General features: G+C 36.9%; 1 protein-coding gene across 1 annotated transcript in view; it reads right to left on the minus strand.

Moving 5' to 3' along the window:
• The window catches only part of NEXMIF (neurite extension and migration factor), a 192,597-nt gene continuing 185,940 nt past the window's right edge, over positions 17,022-23,678 (minus strand). Inside the window, exon 4 of the mRNA NM_001008537.3 lies at positions 17,022-23,664. Coding sequence (NP_001008537.1) covers positions 23,571-23,664 — 94 coding nt within the window. The 3' untranslated portion in view covers positions 17,022-23,570. The remainder of the gene's footprint in view (positions 23,665-23,678) is intronic.

The raw sequence follows: 23,678 nt of genomic DNA on the forward strand, positions 1-23,678 counted from the left end.
AAGACAAAAACCACATGATTATCTCAATAGATGCAGAAAAGGCCTTTGACAAAATTCAACAGCCTTTCATGCTAAAAACTATCAATAAATTTGGTATTGATGGGACATATCTGAAAATAATAAGAGCTATCTATGACAAACCCACAGCCAATATCATACTGAATGGGCAAAAACTGGAAGCATTCCCTTTGAAAACTGGCACAAGACAGGGATGCCGTCTCTCACCACTCCTATTCAACATAGTGTTGGAAGGTCTGGCCAGGGCAATGAGGCCGGAGAAGGAAATAAAGGGTATTCAATTAGGAAAAGAGGAAGTCAAATTGTCCCTGTTTGCAGATGACATGATTGTATATCTAGAAAGCCCCATCATCTCAGCCCAAAATCTCCTCAAGCTGATAAGCTACTTCAGCAAAGTCTCAGGATACAAAATCAATGTACAAAAATCACAAGCATTCTTATACACCAATAACAGACAAACAGAGAGCCAAATCAGGAGTGAAATCCCATTCACAATTGCTTCAAAGAGAATAAAATACCTAGGAATCCAACTTACAAGGGACGTGAAGGACCTCTTCAAGGAGAACTACAAACCACTGCTCAATGAAATAAAAGACGATACAAACAAATGGAAGAACATTCCATGCTCATGGGTAGGAAGAATCAATATCGTGAAAATGGCCATACTGCCCAAGGTAATTTATAGGTTCAATGCCATCCCCATCAAGCTACCAATGACTTTCTTCACAGAATTGGAAAAAACTACTTTAAAGTTCATATAGAACCAAAAAAGAGCCCACATCGCCAAGTCAATCCTAAGCCAAAGAACAAAGCTGGAGGCATCATGCTACCTGACTTCAAACTATACTACAAGGCTACAGTAACCAAAACAGAGATATAGATCAATGGAACAGAACAGAGCCCTCAGAAATAACGCCACATATCTACAACTATCTGATCTTTGACAAACCTGAGAAAAACAAGCAATTGGGAAAGGATTCCCTATTTAATAAATGGTGCTGGGAAAACTGGCTAGCCAGATGTAGAAAGCTGAAACTGGATCCCTTCCTTACACCTTATACAAAAATCAATTCAAGATGGATTAAAGAGTTAAACGTTAGACCTAAAACCATAAAAACCCTAGAAGAAAACCTAGGCATTACCATTCAGGACATAGGCATGGGCAAGGACTTCATGTCTAAAACACCAAAAGCAATGGCAACAAAAGCCAAAATTGACAAATGGGATCTAATTCAACTAAAGAGCTTCTGCACAGCAAAAGAAACTACCATCAGAATGAACAGGCAACCCACAAAATGGGAGAAAATTTTCGCAACCTACTCATCTGACAAAGGACTAATATCCAGAATCTACAATGAACTCAAACAAATTTACAAGGAAAAAACAAACAACCACATCAAAAAGTGGGCGAAGGACATGAACAGACACTTCTCTAAAGAAGACATTTATGCAGCCAAAAAACACATGAAAAAATGCTCACCATCACTGGCCAGCAGAGAAATGCAAATCAAAAGCACAATGAGATATCATCTCACACCAGTTAGAATGGCGATCATTAAAAAGTCAGGAAACAACAGGTGCTGGAGAGGATGTGGAGAAATAGGAACACTTTTACACTGTTGGTGGGACTGTAAACTAGTTCAACCATTGTGGAAGTCGGTGTGGTGATTCCTCAGGGATCTAGAACTAGAAATACCATTTGACCCAGCCATCTCATTACTGGGTATATACCCAAAGGACTATAAATCATTCTGCTATAAAGACACATGCACACGTATGTTTATTGCGGTACTATTCACAATAGCAAAGACTTGGAGCCAACCCACATGTCCAATAATGATAGAGTGGATTAAGAAAATGTGGCACATATACACCATGGAATACTATGCAGCCATAAAAAATGATGAGTTCATGTCCTTTGTAGGGACATGGATGACATTGGAAATCATCATTCTCAGTAAACTATCGGAAGAACAAAAAACCAAACACTGCATATTCTCACTCATAGGTGGGAATTGAACAATGAGAACACATGGACACAGGAAGGGGAACATCACACTATGGGGACTGTTGTGGGTTGGGGGAGGGGTAAGGGATAGCATTGGGAGATATACCTAATGCTAGATTACGAGTTAGTGGGTGCAGCGCACCAGCATGTCACATGTATACATATGTAACTAACCTGCACATTGTGCACATGTACCCTAAAACTTAAAGTATAATAATAATAATAATAAAAGAAATTCACTAGAGTGGCAGAGCAGCAGGTTTGAGCTGAAATAGGAAATAATCAGTGAACTTGGAGACAGATCAATAGGGATATGCAGCCTGAAGAACACAGAGAAAAAAGAACAAAGAACAATGAACAGAGACTTAGAGTAATTTAGTACACTTTTGTGATGGTTAATGTTAGGTGTCAACTTGATTGGACTGAAGGATGCCTAAACAGCTGGTAAAATATTGTTTCTGGATGTGTCTGTGAGGGTGTTGCCAGAGGAGATTGACATTTGAGTCAGTGGACTGGGAGAGGAAGACCCACTCTCACTGTGGTTGGGCACCATCCACTCAGCTGCCAGCATGGCTAGAACAAATCAGGCCGAAGGAGGTGGGAAAAGCTAGTTTGCTGAGTCTTCTGGCTTTCATCTTTCTTCCATGCTGGATGCTTCCTTCTGTTCCTCCTGTCCTTAGACATGAGACTCTAGGTTTTTCAGCCTTTGAACTATTGGTTTGCTGGGGGCTCTTGGGCCTTTGGCCACAGACTGAAGGCTGCATTGTTGGCTTCCCTACTTTTGAGGCTTTTGGACTTGGACTGAGCCATTACTGGCTTCTTTTTTCCTCAGCTTGCAGACAACCTATCATGGGAATTTGCATTGTGATCATGTGAGCTAATTCTCTCCATTAAATGTCTTTTCATATATACATGTATCCTATTAGTTCTGTCCCTCTGGAGAACCCTAATACACCTGTTAAGCACACTAACATATGCATGATGGGAGCAGTGGAAAGAGAAGAGAGAAAAAAAGGAACGGAAAAGAATATTCAAAGGAATAATGGATGAGAACTCCCAAAATATGGCAAAAACATTAATTTGCACTTTCAAGAAGCTCAACAAACTACAAGTAGTGTAAACTAAAGGAAGTCCACACCTAGACACACCACAAAAAACTGTTGAAAAACAGACAATCTTGAAAGCAACAATACAAAATGACTCACAAAAATACCCTAATGAAGAATAGCAGCTGACCTCCCATTAGAAATCATGGAGCCAGAAGGCAATGGGATGATATTCAAAGTGTTGAAAGAAAAAAACTGTCCACCAAGAATTCTATCTTTCAGAAAGGAAAATGAAATAAAAACATTCTTAGTTAAACAAAGACTGAAAGTTCATTGCAGTCAGACCTGCCTTACAAGAAATTCCAAGTTTTCAGGCTGAAAAGATATAAAACCAGATGGTAACTTGAATCTGTTATGAAGAAATAAAGAACACAGGTAAAGTAATTCCATAAGTAAATATAATAGAATAAAGATATATTTAAATCTTCTCTTAGTTTTTAAAACATTGAATAAAATAATTAAATTGTGTAAAACAATTTAAAACTGTATTGTTGGGCATATAACATATAAAGATGTCCAGGTGTGGTGGCTCATGCCTGTAAAGCCAGCATGTTGGGAGGCCGGGGCAGGTGGACTGCTTGAGGTCAGGAGTTCAAGACCAGACTGGCCAACATGGTGAAACCTCCTCTCTACTAAAAATATAAAAAATTATATTTTTTGTATATATAAAAAATATATAAAATGTGGTGACAGGCACCTGTAATCCCAGCTACTTGGTTGGCTGAGGCGGGGAAATTGCTTGAACCCTGAAGGTGGAGGTTGCAGTAAGCCAAGATTGTGCCATTGCACTCCAGTCTGGGTAGCAAGAACGAAACTCCGTGTAAAAAAACAAACAACATATAAAGATATAATTTGTCCAAAAGCAATAGTATTGAGAAGAGATGGAAGGGAGCTATTGTGGAGCAGTTTGTATATACTACCAGAGTGAAATTAGGATTAATTCAAAGTAGATTATTTTAAGATGCAAATTATAATCCCAACAACAACCCTAAGAAAACAACTCAAAATATATTAAAAACAACAACAAAGGAATTAAAATGGTATATTAGAAAATATCTATTCAACAAAAATAGGTAGTAAAGAAAAAGGATAAGATTAATGAAGGCATGAGACATGTATGGAAAAAATACCCAGATAGCAGACATAAATCCAACTACATAAAGTTACATTAAAGAAATAAATTAAGGAACCCGGTGTAAACATAGATTGTCAGATTGGATAAGTGAAACACAGGATCCAACTATTTCCTGCCTGCAAGAGATTCGCTTTAGATTTAAAGCCACAAACAGGTTGAAAGTAAGTGGATGGAAAAGGATACACCATGCAAACAGTAACCATAAGGTAGCTGAAATTGCTATTTTAATATCACACAGAATAAGCTTTAAGACAAAAATTGTTACGAGACAAAGAGAAATATTTTGTCTTGATAAAATTGACAATTTGTTTTGAGACAGAATCTTACTCTTTGCTCAGGCTGGAGTATAGTGGTGTAATCTCAGCTCACTGCAACCTCCACCTCCTGGGTTCAAGCGATCCTCCTGCCTCAGCCTCCTAAGTGTTGGGACTAGAGGCATGTGCCACCACACCCGGCTAACTTTTGTATTTTTAGTAGAGACAGGGTTTTGCCATATTGTCCAGGCTGGTCTCAAATGCCTGACCTCAGGTGATCTGCCCGCCTTGGCCTCCCAAAGGGCTGGGGTTACAGACGTGAGCCACCACATCAGGCAGAAATTGACAATTTATCAGAAAGATGTAAATATTATAAACATGTTTGTATCTAACAACAAAGCCCTAAAAATACTTAAAACAAAGCTGACAGAATTGAGTAAAACAGACAATGTGACAATAATAGTTAGAAACTACAATATTAATAGAACTGCTAGATGGTTAATCTGTAAGTATTAAAGCAACTTGAAGAACTGTATTAATCAATTTGACTAACTGATATAGAAGACTGCATCTAACCACAGTAAAATTCACATCCTTTCAAAAGTGCACATGAACTATTCCGCAGGGTAGACTATATGCTATGCCTATATAAGTCTCAGCAACTTAAAAGGATTGAAACCATGCCAATTATATTCTCTGACCACAAGGAAATTAAATTATAAATCAATAGAAAGGCATTTGCAAAATCCGGAAATACTTGGAAATTAAACAATATATAGCCAAATAGTCCATGGATCAAAGAAGAAATCACAAAGAAGATTAGAAAGTATTTTGAACTGAATGAAAATGAAAACACAACATATAAAAGTTTATGGGATGTAGCTAACTTAGTGCTTAGGATAAAATACATAGCTTTAAATATCTGTATTACAAAAGAAGTTCTTCAATCAGTAATCTAATATTCCAACTTCAGAATCTAGAAAAAGAAGAGCAAAATAAACCCATGACAAAGATAGGGAGCAGGCGTAAATAAAATTAGAGCAGACATAAATAAAATACAAAACAGAAAAACAACTGGGGAAATCAATGAAACAAAAAAATTTATTCTTTGAAAAGATCAACAAAACTTGAGAAATCTTTAGCTAAACTGACCAAAACAAAAGAGAGAAGATACACATCACCAAAATCAGGAATATAAGAGGGGACATCAGCACTGAACGTACAGCCATTAAAAGGATTATAAAGAAATATTGTAAACAAATTTAATCCAATAAATTGGAAGACTTAGATGAAATGGACAAATTCCCAGAAAGGCACAAATTACCAACACAGACTTTAAAAGAAACAGAAAATCTGAATAGATCTATAACAACTAAAGAAATTGAATATATAATTTAAAATTTCTCATAAAGAAAACCCAGATGTGGGTGGCTTCCCTGGTAATTCAATCAAACATTTAAAGAAGAAATGGTGCCAATATTCCAAAATTGTTCATTATTAAAAGTCCCCTGCTATTATTGTATTGCAATCTATCTCCCCCTTTAGATCTATTAATGTTTGCTTTATATATTTGGGTGCTCCAGTGTTGAATGTGTGTAAATTTACAATTGTTATGTCTTCTTGCTGAATTGACCCCTTTATCATTATAAATTGACCTACTTTGTCTCTTTTTATAGTATATGACTTGAAGTCTATTTTATCTGATATAAATATAGATAATCCTGCTCTTTTTGGTTTGGATTTGCATGGAATATCTTTTTCCATCCCTTTACTTTCCGTCCATGTATGTCTTCGTAGGTGAAGTGAGTTTCTTATACGCAGTATATAGTTGGGTCTTTTGTTTTTTGTCCAAGTGCTTCAGAACATTGTTCGGGGCAAAGACTTTTTAAGTAAGACCTCAAAAGCATAGGCAAAAATGCAAAAATAAACAAACGAGATTATGTCAAGATAAAATCGTAGGTTGGTGCCAAAGTAATTGTGGTTTTTGCCATTAATGGCAAACAATTCAATAGCAAAATAACAAATAATCAAATTTAAATATGGCTAAAAGATATGAGTAGAGATTTCTCAAAATACAACATACAAATGGCTATTGGGTATATTAAAAATACTCAACATCACTAATCATCAGGGAAATGCAACTCAAAACTACAATAATGTAACATCTCACCCCTGTTAAAATGACTTTTATTAAAAAAACGAAAAATAACATATACTGGTGAGGATGTGGAGAAGAGGAACCCTCGTACCCTGTTGGTGGGAATGTAAATTAGTACAGCCACTATGGAATGTATATCCAAAAAAAAAAAAAAAAAAAAGGAAATCAGTATATTGAAAAGATATCTGTACGCCCATGTTTATTGCAGCACTACTTACAAAAGCCAAGATATGGAATCAACCTAAGTGTCCATCAACAGAAGAATGAAAAAAGAAAATGTGGTATGTATACACAATGGGATATTATTTAGCCATAAAAAAGTGAAATCCTGTCATTTGCAGCAACATTGATGGAACTGTAGTTCATTATGTTAAGCAAAATAAGCCAAGCACAGAAAGAAAAGTATCACATGTTCTCACTTATCAATGGAAGCTAAAACTGGTTCTCATGGAGGTAGAGAGTTGATTGGCAATTACCAGAGGCTGGGAATAGTAGAGGGGAGGGGAAATGAAGTGAGGTATGTTAATGGGTACAAAAATACTGTTTGATAGAAGGAATAAGATCTAGTGTTCTATAGTACAATAGGGTGTCTATAGTTAACAATAATATATTGTATATTTCAAAAAAGCTAGATGAGAAGAATTGGAATGTTGTCAACATAAAGAAAAGATAAAAGTTCAAGGTGATAGATATCCCAATTACTCTGATTTGATCGTGATCATTACAAACTGTATGCATGTATCAAAATATCACGTATACCCCCAAAATATGTACAAGTTATGTATCGATAAAAAAAGAAAAGAAGACAATCACTGTGCAGGGAAAAATTTTGCATATCATATTCCTGAAAAATAAGTTGCATTTAGAATATAAAATAACTCTAAAAATTAAATAATAAGACAAATAATCCAATTAAAAATGGGCAAAAAAATATTGGAATAGACATGTTTCCAAGGAAGATAAAGGAATGGCTAATAAGCACATGAAAAGATACTCAATGCCAGTAGGAGATACCACTCCACAATTACTGGAATGACTGTAATCAATGCAACAGACAAATGTTGATTGCAACGTGGAGAAACTGGAACCCTTAATCATTGTTTGTGGGAATGTAAAATATCACAGCCGCTTTGGAAAACAATGTGGCCGTTTCTCCAAATATTAAACATAGAGGTCCCAGTGACCAAGCAATTCCACTCCTGGCAATCTACCCAAAAGAACTGAAAACATATGTCCACACAAAAACTTGTAAGCAAATGTTCACAGCAGCACTATTTACAATACTCAGAAAGTGGAAATGACCCAATTGTCTCAATTGATGACTGGATAGACAAAATATGCTATAGCCATACAATGGAATACTATTTAGCCATAAAAAGGAATGGAATACTGATACGTGCTATCACATAGATGAAACTCAAAAACATTATGCTAATTGAAGCCAGACACAAAAGACTACACGTTATATGATTCCATTTAAATGAAATGTGATGTAAAGGCAAATCTATAGAGATGGAAAGATTAGTGGTTGCTCTGATATGGAGCTGGAAACAGGGATTCAATGTAAATAGGAATAAGGTATCTTTTTTTTAAAAAAATTTTATGTTATGTTCAGGGATACATGTGCAGGTTTGTTGAATAGGTAAACTTGTGTCATGGGAGTTTGTTGTACAGATTATTTCATCACCCAGGTGTTAGTTTTTTTTCATGATTCTCTCCCTCCTCCCACCCCCACCCTTCGATAGGCCCCAGGGTGTATTGTTCCCCTCTACATGTCCATGTGTTCTCATCATTTAGTGCCCCCTTATAAGTGAGAACATGCAGTATTTGGTTTTCTGTTCCTGCATTAGTTTGCTAAGGATAATGGCCTCCAGCTCCATCCATGTCCCTGCAAAGAACATGATCTTGTTCTTTTTTATGTCTGCATAGTATCCCATGGTGTATATGTAGCACATTTTCTCTATCCAGTCTACCATTGATAGCTATTTAGGTTGATTCTATGTCTTTGCTACTGGAAACAGTGTGACAATGAATATATGTCTGCATGTGTCTTTATAATAGAATGATTTATATTCCTTTGGGTATATACCTGGTAATAGGATTGTTGGGTCGAAAGTATTTCTGTCTTTAGGTCTTCGAGGAATTGCCACACTGTCTTCCACAATGGTTGAATTAATTTACACTCCCACCAACAGTGTATAAGTGTTTCTTTTTCTCCACAACCTCGCCAGGATCTGTTATTTTTTGGCTTTTTAATAACAGCCATTCTGACTGGTGTGAAATGGTATCTCACTGTGGTTTTAATTTGCATTTCTCTAATGATTAGTGATGTTGAGCTTTTTTTCATATGCATGTAGGCCACATATATATCTTCTTTTGAAAAGTGTTCATGCTCTTTGCTCACTTTTAAATGTTTTTTCTTTTTTTTGTGATTTTAAGTTCCTTATAGATGTCAGAAAGTAGACCTTTGTCGGATGCATAGTTTGTAAATATTTTCTCTGTAGGTTGTCTGTTTATGCTGTTGATAGTTTCTTTTGCTGTGAAGAAGCTCTTTAGTTTAATTAGATCCCATTTATCAATTTTTGCTTTTATTGCAATTTCTTTTGGAGTCTTCGTCATGAAATTTTTACCAGGGCACATGTCCTGAATGGTATTGCTTATGTTGTCTTCTAGGGTTTTTATAGCTTTGGATTTTATGTTTAAGTCTTTAATCCATCTTGAATTAATTCTTGTACATGGTGTAAGGAAGGGGTACAGTTTCAATCTTCTGCGTATGGCTAGCCAGTTATTCCAGCAGCATTTATTGAATAGGGATTCCTTTACCCATTGCTCTTTTTTTTTGTCAGATTTGTCGAAGATCAGACAGTTGTAGGTGTGTAGTCTTATTTCTAGATTCTTTATTCTGTTCTATTAGTCTATGTGTCTGTTTTTGTACCAGCACCATACTGTTTTGGTTACTGTAGCTCGGTAGTGTAGTTTGAAATCAGGTAGCATGATGCTTCCAGCTTTGCTCTTTTTGCTTAGGATTGCCTTGGCTATTTGGGCTCTGTTTTGGTTCCATGAATTTAAAAATGGTTTTTTTTTTTTTTCTGGTTCTGTGAAGAATCTCAATGGTAGTTTAATAAGAATAGCATTGAATTTATAAATTGTTTTGGGCACTATTGCCATTTTATTTTTTTCAGTTTCTAAAAGCAGAGAAAGTATGGCCATTTAAAAGATATTGATTTTTCCTCTCCATGAGCACGGAATGTTTTCCATTTGTTTGTGTCATCTCTGATTTCTTTGAGCAGTGGTTTGTAGTGCTCCTTGTGGAGCTCTTTCACCTCCCTAGTTAGCTGTTTTCCTATGTATTTTATTCTTTTTGTGGCAATTGTGAATGGGATTTTGTTCCTGATTTGGCTCTCGGCTTGACTGTTGTTGTATAGGAATGCTAGCAATTTTTTCACATTGATTTTGTATCCTGAGACTTTGCTGAAGTTATGAGCTTAAGAAGCTTTTGGGTTGAGACTATGGGGTTTTCTAGATGTAGGATCATGTCATCTGCAAACAGGGATAGTTTGACTTGCTCTCTTCCTATTTGGATGCCCTTTATTTCTTTCTCTTGCCTGATTGCTCTGGCCAGGACTTCCAATACCATGTTGAATAGGAGTGATAAGAGAGGGCATTCTTGTCTTGTGCCTGTTTACAAGGGGAATGCTTCCAGCTTTTGCCCATTAAGTATAATCTTGACTGTGGGTTTGTCGTATATGGCTCTGGAATAAAAAGGTATCTTATGGGGGTAATGGAAATGTTGTAAAACTGGATTATGGCAATTGTTAAATAATTTGGTAAATTTATTGAAAATTATTGAATTTTACACTTAGGTGGCTGAATTTTATGGTATGTAAATTATATCTCAATGCATGTTGTAAGAATCTATCATTCAGACCTCCATTTTTCAACCATCTAGTCAACAGGACAGAGTATACCATGACTATGAGGTTATGAACAACTAATTCTCCCAATTTTTTATTTTGTCCATTATAGAATCATGGGGAAATAACTCACTTCTCAAATAACTATTTCCAAATAATCAATGCAAAAGAATTTATTTTAAGAAAGGCAAACTCAGGAGGTTGAGGCTGCAGTGAGCCATGATCATGCCACTGCGCTCCAGCTTGGGCACCAGAGTGAGATCCTGTCTCTAAAAACAACAACCAAAAAGGCTGGGAGTGGTGGCTCATGCCTGTAATCCCAACACTTTGGGCAGATCACCTGAGGTCAAGAGTTCGAGACCAGCCTGACCAACATGGTGAAACCCTGTCTGTACTAAAAATACAAAAATTAGCCAGGTGTGGTGGTGGGCACCTGTAATCCCAGCTACTTGGGAGGTTGAGGTAGGAGAATCGCATGAACCTGGGAGGCAGAGGTTGCAGTGAGCTGAAACCATGCCACCGCACTCCAGCCTGGGCGACAAAGTGAGACTCTGTCTCAAAAAAAAAAAAAAAAGAAAAGAAAAAACTAAAAGAGGGTGAAAATTTAAAAGTTATTTTATTATACCATCAATAGGAAAGGCTAAATAGTCATGTGTTCTCCTCATCAACAGGACATATCGGGGAAGAGTTGGTAAGTCAATGCAAAGTTACTGATTTGCAGAAGAGTGGATGCTGCCTGATTTAGCAGATCTATTGTAAATCAACTTTCTCACTTTGGTAGTTTTAATACTTTAAAAATATTTGTAAGCAGTTTTAATTTAAACATGTGATAAAAGCTTTTGAGATTTGTAAAAGTGTACCTGCTTAACATGATCTCGTGTGGTGAGAATATAAATTTTCTTTGTTTAATTTTAAGCTTAAAACAGTACAAAGGAAAGTGTATTTGTTTTTTAAGAACCTGAGGCAAATTTAATTCCCAATGCTGATTTTCCTGTGGGGATCCAGTGATTGAGTTGTTAATTGAGTAACTCCTTTGTAAAATGCAACATGATGGGTATATTTCCTTTCTAGAACTTACTAAAGAAATGTACAGAAACAGATGCATATTTTTAAAATTTTAAGCTTCAAAATAGTTTGGCATATTCAGTTAGACTGATATAAGTTACTGTGCATTAATGGTTATGTATTTTATGGTTTGAAACAATGCCTGAGCTGGGGAGAATCTTGAAGGTCCAACTATCAGGGGATTAAAATTAGGGCCATCGAGATTAACTCAAAGCCAAAGACAAGTCAGGCTTGTCTGCATTTTATTTAAGGAGTGTGTGCATAAATAGTTCACATAATCCAAAGTTAGTATAATTCTGACAAAAGACAGAAGGTATTTCTATTTAATGACTAAAGTGACACCAAAATGTGGCAATAGCATAACACAGCTTATCTTTCACATACTTGCCCACTTTGAAATTAATTATGTTCTTCCTGATGATTTTTTTTACTTGAACTATTTCAAAAGTTGCATGCATAGTCAAACTCTCAATATTTTGTATTGTACTATCTTAAATTTGCATAGTTAAAATTCCATAAATTGTGACCAAATTGGAACGTGTAAAGCAGTACTCTCTGATCTCATCTCTCTACTCCTTTCCAGCCACACTGGCTGTCTTCTAGTTCCTTGAGTACTGAATACTGCATGCTTTTCCTACCAAAGGACCTTCACATGTGCTCTTTCTGGGATGTTACCCACTCTCATCCCCAACTTCTTCTTCACCTAGGTAAATCCTACTCATGCTTAGGGTGCCACCCTCAGTATCAGGTCAAGTTTCTTCATCAGTGGTTCTCATGAAAGTATATTCCTTCAGAGTTCTTATTTCAGTTTTAAATTATATACTTATAATTGAAGTGCGTTTTTGATTAAGTTTTTTTTTTTTTTTTTGAGACGGAGTCTCGCTCTGTTGCCCAGGCTGGAGTGCAGTGGCGGGATTTCCGCTCATTGCAAGCTCCGCCTCCCGGGTTCACGCCATTCTCCTGCCTCCGCCTCCGGAGGAGCTGGGACTGCAGGCGCCTGCAACCACGCCCGACTAATTTTTTGTATTTTTAGTAGAGACGGGGTTTCATCATGTTAGCCAGGATGGTCTTGATCTCCTGACCTCGTGATCCGCCCACCTCGGCCTCCCAAAGTTCTGGGATTACAGGCATGAGCCACCGCGCCTGGCCTTGATTAAGTTTTATAAGGAAAGAGTCAAAGTCCCATTTTGCTCTCAGTAGCTACCATGGTTGCTGACACACAAATGGTGCTTAACAATAATTTGTTGAATGAATTAATTGAATAATGAACAAATATATACATAGTTACTTCATTAAATTCTAATTCAGCTATGGCAACCCAGATAATAAAATGAATCATGGGTTTTATTTGTTTTTATTTTTATTTTTAGTTTTAGTTTTTGAGATGGAGTTTCACTTTTGTCTCCCATGCTGGAGTACAATGGGGTGATCTCAGCTTACTGCAACCTCCACCTCCCAGGTTCAAGCGATTCATGTGCCTTAGCCTCCTGAGTAGCTGGGATTACAGCCGCACACCCCTACGCCTGGCTAATTTTTGTATTTTTAGTAGCGACAGGGTTTCACCATGTTGGCCGGGTTGGTCTCAAACTCCTGACCTCAAGTGATCTGCCTGCCTGGGCCTCACAAAGTGCTAGGACTACAAGCATGAGACACTGCACCCGGCCCATGGGTTTTAAAAGGGAAGGACCCTTCAATATTATAATAGGTAATATTTATTGAGCCTTTTATACATGCACCAGTCACTATTTTAAATGCTTTTTGTGCATTATCTCATTTAATTCTCCCTCAAATCCTGTGAGATAGGCATCATAATTATTTTCACTTTACTGGTGAGGAAGTTGAGGTAGGTCTTATTATTATCAAGAGGAAAGCTTGGATTCAATCTGGGTAGGCTGACTTCACACTTTATGCTCTTAAATGTTATCTAGCCCAACCTCACCATTTCCCAGATGAGGAAATTGAGGCCCAGAAGGGAAGTGACTTGTTCAAATTCTTAAACAAATTTAGTGGCAAAGCCAGGCATAGAACCCAGGTAATCTGGATTAATAATGTGTAGCTTTAACTAGCTTATTTGGCTACTGATAATAAATTAACTCTAATAATAAATGTTCAATATAATGACTCTTCTAATTTTATCTTTAAAATGTTATCTTTCTCCAAATGAAGATCAAAGGCTCTTTGAGCCAGGAGTTTGCTAATTTTCTTAGATGAACACCTAATAAAAGGAGAAATATTTGGGGAAGGGAGATGGAGTTATTTCTAAGGAATCAAAATAAGAACTATTAGTAAAACACTTTACATCTACTAAAAAATAGCAAATGTTAATTATGACCTGACCGCTCAACTGGTGCCAAGGCTTTACAAGAAGGTCTTTGATCTTCCCAACAATCCTGTGGGAACAATAGTATTGTTATACTAGGTTTGTGTGTGTGTGTTTGGGGTGGGGGGGAGGGGGGTGGTGATTAGAGGCTCTGGGATATAGAGAGATTAAAGTAATTGGTCCTGGCCGGGAGCGGTGGCTCATGCCTGTAATCCCAGCACTTTGGGAGGCTGAGGCGGGTGGATCACGAGGTCAGGAGATCGAGACCATCCTGGCTAACACGGTGAAACCCCGTCTCCACTAAAAATACAAAAAATTATTCGGGCGTGGTAACAGGCGCCTGTAGTCCCAGTTACTCAGGAGGCTGAGGCAGGAGAATGGTGTGAACCTGGGAGGCGGAGTTTGCAGTGAGCCGAGATTGCGCCACTGCACTCCAGCCTGGGTGACAGAGCGAGACTCTGTCTCAACAACAACAACAACAACAACAACAACAACAACAACAACAACAACAACAAAGTAATTGATCCCAAATCACATAGCTAGTAAGTGATGGATCTAAGCTCACTCTCAACTCTGATTCCAAAATAGGGAGAAGGATGGAAGGTGAAATATTGGCTACTGACATTTTGTGACATTGTTCCCTCCATAACAATGGATGGAGGTTCTTTTCCTCTAAGGTATTTAAGGACAGCAAATCATTAGTTATTTTATATGTGATCATTTATCTTAAATTGGCCACTGGGTGTTTCTTAATTTAAACTATTAAATTATACCTGTCTGTTGTCTGTGAGCTCCTAGAGGGAAACACATGTGCTTTATATTTCAATTCTTTGTTTTCCTAGCATCTAGCACAATATCTGACACAGAGTGAACTATTTATTAATGGCTATTAATATTAATATTTATATTTTTGACATGGTATAGTTAATATGGTTATGCTGGAAAATGAATTTTGAGTTACAGACATGGGATTGTGGTAAGACAAACATAAAGGGCTTTGCCAGCTCTGGTGAAAGTCTTTGAAGATTAACAGTTGTGCAATCTTGAGGAAATTTACTGCACCAATCTTTGTCCCAATTTTCTTATATGTAAAATAGGGAAGATGCTTCCTTTGCAGGGTTGTTGTAAGAAATTGTAATTCATGTAAAATAACTGACACATAGTAGACAATAAATAAATGAGTTATCATCTTGGGTCAGTGAAGAGGAGATAGACTGAGATTCCATTATGATGTGGGGAAGATGTTTTAGGGAATTCATGACCCTAATATAGCAGTTTTTAATTTGTGACTTCCACAAAATTCTATGTAAAATTCTGAATATGTTTGTTTTTCTGGGGAGAAGGCCCACTGATTTAATTCGTTTCTTAAAGTGGTATGTGGCCTATAAAGTTTAATAACTATAGCTCCAATTACTTTTAAGTAGAAATCTGTATTAAAATAGTGCCATAATCTCCCCAAAATTAGGTCCATCAAAAGCTCAGTTCCAAGACAGATCAAATGCCTTTAGACAAAGGACCTACCATCTTCCCCCTAAGCTCTAGTATGATCTCAACTTTTGCCAGGGAAGAACAAAAAGGATGTGAAACCACAGGGAAAAGAATGGGACCACTCACTTACCCCAACTCTGCCACTAGTTTAGTGCAAGAATCTTTATCTAAGGCCATGTTCACCAGAATACACCTCTGAATCCTGCATGGAGTGAAGAATACGCATTTGGAATCTCTATCACATGTGAAACTTCTAGAACTTGGGAGAAATGAAGACTCAGAGCATTAAATAGGTCTGATCATAGGGTCTTTAACTGCTCTGCCCCTCGTTCTCCATCCTCTCCCACCGCCTTAGACGTGAAATTCAAAATCTCCTTCACTCTTTAAATTAATGAGTTGGGGGTTTGGTTTCAATGTCTTATGGTCCATGGTGAAGAGAAAAAGACAATACAGTACATATTAAACAAAGGACTATCTGATTGTCTTTTGGTGTTAAATGATCTTCTGTGATTTGATAACAAATGATTTTTTAAAATACTCCCTACTGAGCACAATAAAAAGCTGGCTACTATAAAGACTCTCCTTTCCATTTCTTTTTTCTTGTTAAAAAATTTCCAGGTCCAGCATGGGCAACATAGTGAAACACGGTCTCTAAAGAAATACAAAAATTAGCCAGATGTGGTGGTAGTACAGGTAGCACACCTGTAGTCTCAGCTCCTTGGGAGGCTGAGGTGGGAGGATCACTTGACCTGGGAAGTGTAGGTTGCAGTGAGCCAAGACTGTGCCACTGCAGTCTAGTCTAGGTGGCAGAATGAGACACTGTCTCAAAAAAAAACCCAAAATTTCCAGATGTGAAATCCAAGTCCAAAGGTCACTGAATTAGGGCAATGTTGCAATAGTCCAGGTGAAATACCATGAAAGCTTGAATTAAGGCAGTGGTAATGGTGATAGAAAGGCAGGAGAATTGAGAGTGGCCAGTTGGATGTGAGGTTGGAAGAGGCATGAGTTGCTGGCTTGGATGGATGGCAGCATCATTCACTGAGCTAGGGCACACTCAGAGGGTAAAGAGCTAGAGCACACTCAGACTTGAATAAATGTCTGAGGATGTTGCAGAATGTCCAAGTAGAGACAGCCAGCCTACAACTAAAAATATAAGCCAGGAACATGGGGGAGATTTGTGGACATCTAGATGGTAGCTGAAGTGGTAGAAGTGGATGAGGTTATCCAGTGAGAAGAGAGACATTTCCTCATGCACACTTTTCAATTTCTTTGAGCGGTGGTGTTCAAAACCAAAGAAGTGACTGTTGGCTCACGTGTGCCTCAATGATCTTGCTATGGTTAGCCAACACTCCAGGCTGATGGGTGACTCAAACAGTTTGGGCAATTGAAAACAAAGTTCAATTTTTCTAGACATAGCAAATACTTTGAAATACTGGGTACTGTAGGGACTGAGTTCGGGAAAGTCCTGAATAAAGGAAACAAGGTTCATGAGTGAGTGGTAAGTAACATGATGTAGGAACTGTAGGGAATTATGGAAAATCTGACATCTTTTGGGTACCAGGCAAATCAGCATTTATTACTTTCAATAAACAGCTTTAACACTTTGAGAGGACTGCATCTCTGCAGATTCCATCTGGATCACAAAACAAAGACACAATTTGTTTTAAGGTCTTTGAAGACTGGACACACTAGAAGATGATTCCTCAATTTGAGGGGCAAAAGAATCCCCTACACAAAACTCTAGCCCAGTGCTTCTCAAACTTTAACATGCACACAAAACACCTAGGGATCTTGTTAAAATTCAGATTCTCATTCAGCAGAATTGGTGTAGGGCTTGGAATTTCGCATTCCTAACAAGTTCCCAGATGATGGCAATGCTGCTGGTCTAGTCAAAGTATTATTCAAAGTATGATTAGAACCTTCTATGGCAATTTGACATTGATGAGTGGACTTGTCTCAAACAGGGTACCAACTTTTTGCAATTCGTTTCTTTCCCCTTATGTTATGTTTATCTCGAAATGTAATTTTACATGTTAAATCTAATACATTTGGGCTTTTATTTTGCATATCTTTTTTCCATTTAACTTTCTTAGAAATTCATTTTTGTTGTGTTTTATAATAGTATTGGTCTGTGATGGATTGCAAAAACTATTGGTCCCTCACCACAGATAGTTTGAGAAACACTGCTCTAGATGATAAAGAACGTTTTATTTGGGACATAGATTTAATTAGAAATGGTTTGATTTCTAATACATATGATTCTAAAGCAGTATTTTAAACTTTTCTTTTTATTTATTTCATAAACAATAACAAAACTCAGCTAGGTAACATTATGACAGTTTCACCGTACATTCAGTCACAAATATTTGAAACCTTCGCAACAAGAACAACAAAACCAGAAGTGTTACAAGAATAATTTACAAGAAAATCTATAAAACAGCAAGAAGCTCACAAATGTTCATTTTTTTTGCACAAGATCACTACACTCTTTCACAACATGTTTTGTGTTACAAAATTTCCAACAAAAGTGTATTTTTTTTCTTTGTATTGTGGTTTCTAAAACCAGAAACTTTGAAGTAAATATCCTTTTATTAGCACCTAGTGGTGCAGAAAAAGGAAAACTCTCACATACAGACACTTCACAGCACTTTTCTAAGAAAAATATACACTTACAAAATATGTTACAAATTGGCACACTTAAAAATATACAAGATTTTGTAGACGTCTTAAGAGTGATCCTTAAGCTTTAAACTTCAATTGATTCTACAGATTATTTATAAAGCTTAACTCTAAAAGAAAAAAAAAGGCAAATAATTTCCTAACATTTTTAAGTTGCAGTGTCATATGTCAAACAGAAACTTAGGTTACATTCATAAAAAGGGCCTCTAACGCTTTTATTTTAAATTTTCTTAAATGCTTAAGGGGCTTGGGGAAGAAGAAAAAAATGGGAATAATCATTTTCTTTAGCACCATAAATCAGCAACTTACTAAAGAGGTGCATTCAGTTCTATGGAAACTAAGGACTAGTACATTCAAAACTCTGTAGGCAGCAAACTCCAGTCAGTGCTACAGGTAGCCCAGTAGAGCATCTTAAGATTTCTACTCTCCTCACTGGGAGTGAAAAACAAAAGGCCTCTTCTAGTTTTCATTCTAAGCCTTTTTTTGTGCTGTAAATAACCAGTCATCTCTCAAACAGGCAGAATGATTTCAATATCTCTTTTCTTCTTTTTGAAATGGGATGTCATTCTGAGACTCAGAAACCCCTGAGCTTGTTAGATGGACAGACATCCTTTCCATCTTATGTGGATGAGTGTTTCTTCAGTGTCTTTAGTATCAATTTACCCAGATACTGATTTTGAAAGCCTCATTCACACCATAAACTTTGTTCTAAACCTCTGTCTTTTACATTGTCCTTCTCCAATGCCTTACCTCTTAGTTACGATTCTGAAACCAAGAGTACATCTCAAGTATGTAGCTGCAATGGGAGCTCTGCTTCACGACTGTAGCTAGTGTTTAATGCTGAGTAAAAAATGTGCCTTAAAGGGTAGCCTGAGTCCTGTCATCAAAATAATCACATGCTGGCTGAGGACCCTCAAGCTGATGACAGTGTTTCCCAAGTTAAACAGCCCAACTAAAATTTTTTTCTCCCTTATTTGGGTCTTTGAGAAACCTTTACAAAATCCCTGGCCTACATTGTGTTGACAAGATTCCTGTTTGTTACTAAAAGTTTGATTTTGGTACTAAATCTTCTAAATGTAACTATAGGCTTAGTGAATTTTATGATTAGAAAACAAACCAACCTCACATTAGTTTTATTTTATAAAAAGAACATATTTCTGTAGTGATGGGCAGTCATTAAAAAAATCCCTAAATGAAAATGGTTACTCCTTAAATTAGATAATTTCTCAATAATAAAGGAGAAAATAAACATTTCTATTTCTAGCAATAGTTAGGACTAGCTAGTGCTCCATTCTCCTCTTCAGCATAAAAACTTAGCTCTCTTCAATTCTTGGAACTGTTCTGAGAGCATCTGTAAGCTGAAGACATGTTGGATCTACATCACACTGGTCCAGCTTGGTAATAGCAAGCATGGCTAAAAGGTCCTTGGATATGGTTTTTCTCCTTTAGGCAGTAAATGCTAATTGAAACCTACTAAAACAGAAATTCACTAGAACTGCAAAACCTCACATAGGACTTAGGATGCTTGCTAGAGTTGTTTATAGCTTTTGAAGCATCCTTTTGCCTCTCTCTTACACACACACACACTTCCCTCCGTAGCCCCCTCACACACGCAGATGCTTCCCAGCAAGGAAAAAGTTCAGAGAAGGTGAAAGTTGTCACAAAAGCCCAGCTAGCACCAAGGACTTCAGTGAGATGGCTGAAGAAGTGATGATCAAAGTAATGCAGGAGGTTTGAAAACATCAGGAAAAGGTAAGGCCTTGACACATAGTTGCAGAGTAACAAGAAGTCAGAAGGGAAAGCTGGGAGGAAGCAGCATATGTGAAGAAGCTGGTATAAGAGACCTTGGCGAGGCAGAAAGGATGGTCACTGGTTCAAGCCAGTTATCACAGCCCAAACATGACCCCCAAAGTCTCAATACCCTTCTCCATATAATATAGCACCTAACCAGGGCAGGAGATGAGACCTATTCTTAACAGATCTTCAGGGAAAAGGAATTTCTAAGTTTCCTCAGTCATGTGATATAATTTGTCCATGTGGGCACGAGTGTGTGTTTAAAATTATATTTGAGGGATGAAATACCACCTATTGGGTACAATGTACACTATTTCGGTGATGGGTACACTAAAAGCCCAGATTTCAACACTAAGCAATATATCCATGTAACACAACTGTCCTTGTACCCCTACTCTATAAAAATTAAAAAAAATTTAATTAAAAAATTAGATTTGAAAATAGCCAAAGCAATTAAAGGCAATTAAGAATGGGAAGGTTTCCTTCTGAACTTCCAGAAGAAAGCAGCCTAAGATTGTTGAGCCCTGACAATTTGGGCAGGTGGGATATGAGACCATAAAAGAAAAATTCTAAGACCAAGGTCTGAGATTAAGTAAGAAGAATAAGGGAGGTTACCATTTCCAGGAAAGTAAAGATTAAATGGGACTCTGTTAGGGAGGCATTAATAGGAAACAGCTTCTCAGAGGGGGAAGGTTAGAAGGGAGCGGTAATCAGGAATTTCAGACCAAGGATAATATATATTTCTGACTTGAGATACCAGTGATAGGGCAAAACACTATTTTTATACTCTACTAAGGCAGCTGGTTATGACAGGAAGAAAAAGAACTGTGAGAGCAGAGACAGGACCAACAAAATGCTAAATGATGAACATCTCAGAACACAATGTACTGAGAGGAATATTAAATGCAATTAAGAGAATAAACATCTTCTGCCTCGGCCTATTGCTCATTTCTCAAACTCTGTTTCTTTTTATGTTTCAGTACAAAGTGACTGGTTATGCGTCACTAATTTATATATTAAAAACATATAATACACTGCAGGCCAATTAAAAAGGTACTTTAAAATAACAATTCTCTTTGGAGAAAGGGATGAACTATGCCCTAGAATTGGCCCTTAATGGGCTCCATAGGAGCAACTGAAAGAATATCCATTCCAAAGGACTTATGATAGCAAGTTCTCACAAGGAAATTGTTTCCAACAGTTTCAGGCTGTCCTACCCCACTCACACCCCATTCTCCAAAGCTGAACTGATACCGAAAAAAAACTGGGACAACTGCTCCCATATTTACTTTTATAAAAACACATTGTATTAATGGAACATTTTCTTTATTTTTTCATTAATTGCCACCTTTTCATTACATAGAAAGCACTCCACTCCTCTAAGCCAGCAGGTGACTCTGAGGTCTGGAGTCTTGGGGATCACAATACAGGCAGAGTTGGTGATTCCAAGCCAAAATTCAGCTGCAAAACAGAAAAATCAAAAACAAAAACAAAAACAAAACAAAGACCAGTTTCTAGGGACTGGCCATAGCATTTAGTACAGCTAGCTATCAGAATAGAGAAATAGAAGAAGGTTTTCCAGTTTGGTTATTTTCCCTTTTGAATGGTAGCTATGGGGCAGGAGACATGTTTCATCTGGTGCCTTTCCACTAAGTAATTTTCCAGGGCTCACTGCAAACAGAGCATTAAAGCCTAGGAATGGGCCTGTACCAGCCTCACAGAATGCTCCTCACCCACTCATCCCCACAGACACAAGAGACTGACGCTGGGAACACACATGATCAAGAACACAGGCTTGTTCATTTTACGACCCAGCTGTAAGGAATAGAGCAGGCTGGTGAAAGGAATCATGGACCGGGAAGTGTATATACTTATATACATGACAGGCTTCCTTCCATTTCTCTCTGACTACTTTCAAATGTTGCTTCTCTGTTTGTGAATACATTTAGGTGGCATTGACTAGGTAGGTTCATATTTTGCTTAAAATTTTCCTTTTGAAACATCTTCCCTTTTTTTGTTAAATCCCCTTTTTCCCTTCCCACTTATTCTCCACCCTCCCACCCCAGCCTATATATTCACAAGTTAATAGGTTAGTAACAATATTAATAAGAATAGTAACAACGACAACAACTAACAATATTAATAATATTAATCCCCTATATCTGTATAGCACTTTATGATCTACAAAGCGCTCTCACATCCATTATCTCATCTGTGCCATAATGCATCAGTCATCAGATGCACAGGCCTTCAATTGTGCAAAGAAAAGAGATCAAATGTTAGAAGTCAAGTGGTGAATAAAAGGGAAGAAAAAGTAGTAGTGAGGAATGTTGGGGCTGTGAAATTTTTTTTAAAAAGTAGGGGGAGTACTGAATAAAAAATGTGATTTAAAAATTTGTACTTAAAATTGAGATTTAAGTTTAGTGTGTGGCATCAAATATTGGTTATCCTCAGACTAAGGGTATATGGCCCAAATCAGTTGTTGCCACAAATTGTTCATCTTATCTGATAGTAAATGTACTTTACTCATAAGAAGAAAAATTTGGTTGAACTGGGATGCCTTAACATTTTCTTTAAATGACATTGGCATTGCAAGATTAAACACTGAAAGAACACTAAAGCCATGATATGAGTGCACTTTTGACAAAACTGGAATAAAACATTTAGGAAACTATTTAAATAAAAGCATTCTATATACTTCATTTATCATTAGTGTTGATTTTATAGCTATTTTTATAATTTATCCCAGACTATTATAAAATATATAAAACTGAGATATAAAGTATCAGCAATATAACTTTGCACTTTAAATAATTTTCAGCTACAGATTTTGCTTTTAGAAAACAAACTTTGAAAGCAGCTGTTTTGTTTCCTTGTAAAACGTTCTGTAAATGCATATACTTGGGTCCCTGATGGACTTAGCTGTTGTGGCCTTCAGACTTTTCCAAAATTTTAACCCTTACACAATGGAACAAGAAAATCTTTATTTTGCCTTGTTTAGCTGTTCATGTTTCCACACAGGACAGTAGAGTCTAAAACTTTAAAAGAACGTGTGTGTGTGTATATATATATATACATATATATACACACACACACACACACACAAACATATACATATATATGTTTGGGTGTGTATATATCCATTTAAAAATAATTAATGAGCTTTAAACTGTGGGTGAATCTGTGAGATGAGGTAAGAAAATTTGGCACATTTCAAACAGTATCCTTTAATTTTGGTAAATTGTGTAACACAACATATTTTTCCACCATGATCTACAGGTGCTATCCACATAAGTGGGGGTGGTTAATAGCAAGAATCACTGGAATGTTTCTAGTAAATTAACAGGGACAACTTCCCCAAATACAACCAAATGTTGATATAGAAGTAAAAATATATACAGTACAGTCACTTGTTTGTAGTTTGGCACAATGTTTTCAATTTTTTCCTTGTGGGTAAATAGTGCATAAACTACTTGTGCAACTGTATGACTTTTTAAGTCTTTTACATAGAACATGAGATTAAAGTTTGCTCCAAAGACGTATTCCCACAATTTAAAATTCTTTTCTTTAAGCACTTACATGTCAACATACATACCACAAGGCATATTTTGAAAGAAATAAAACACAAACATCAAATGTCTTTCTGGAAAATGCGAGTCTCTTCTTCAAACACAGGTAAAACCCAAAAGGTTGTTTCTGCTTTTAGGAGATTGTAGTCGGAATCCCTGCAGAAAAATCA

The sequence above is a fragment of the Homo sapiens genome, chromosome X, assembly GCF_000001405.40.
Source record: "Homo sapiens chromosome X, GRCh38.p14 Primary Assembly".
In the NCBI taxonomy this organism is placed as follows: Eukaryota; Metazoa; Chordata; class Mammalia; order Primates; family Hominidae; genus Homo; species Homo sapiens.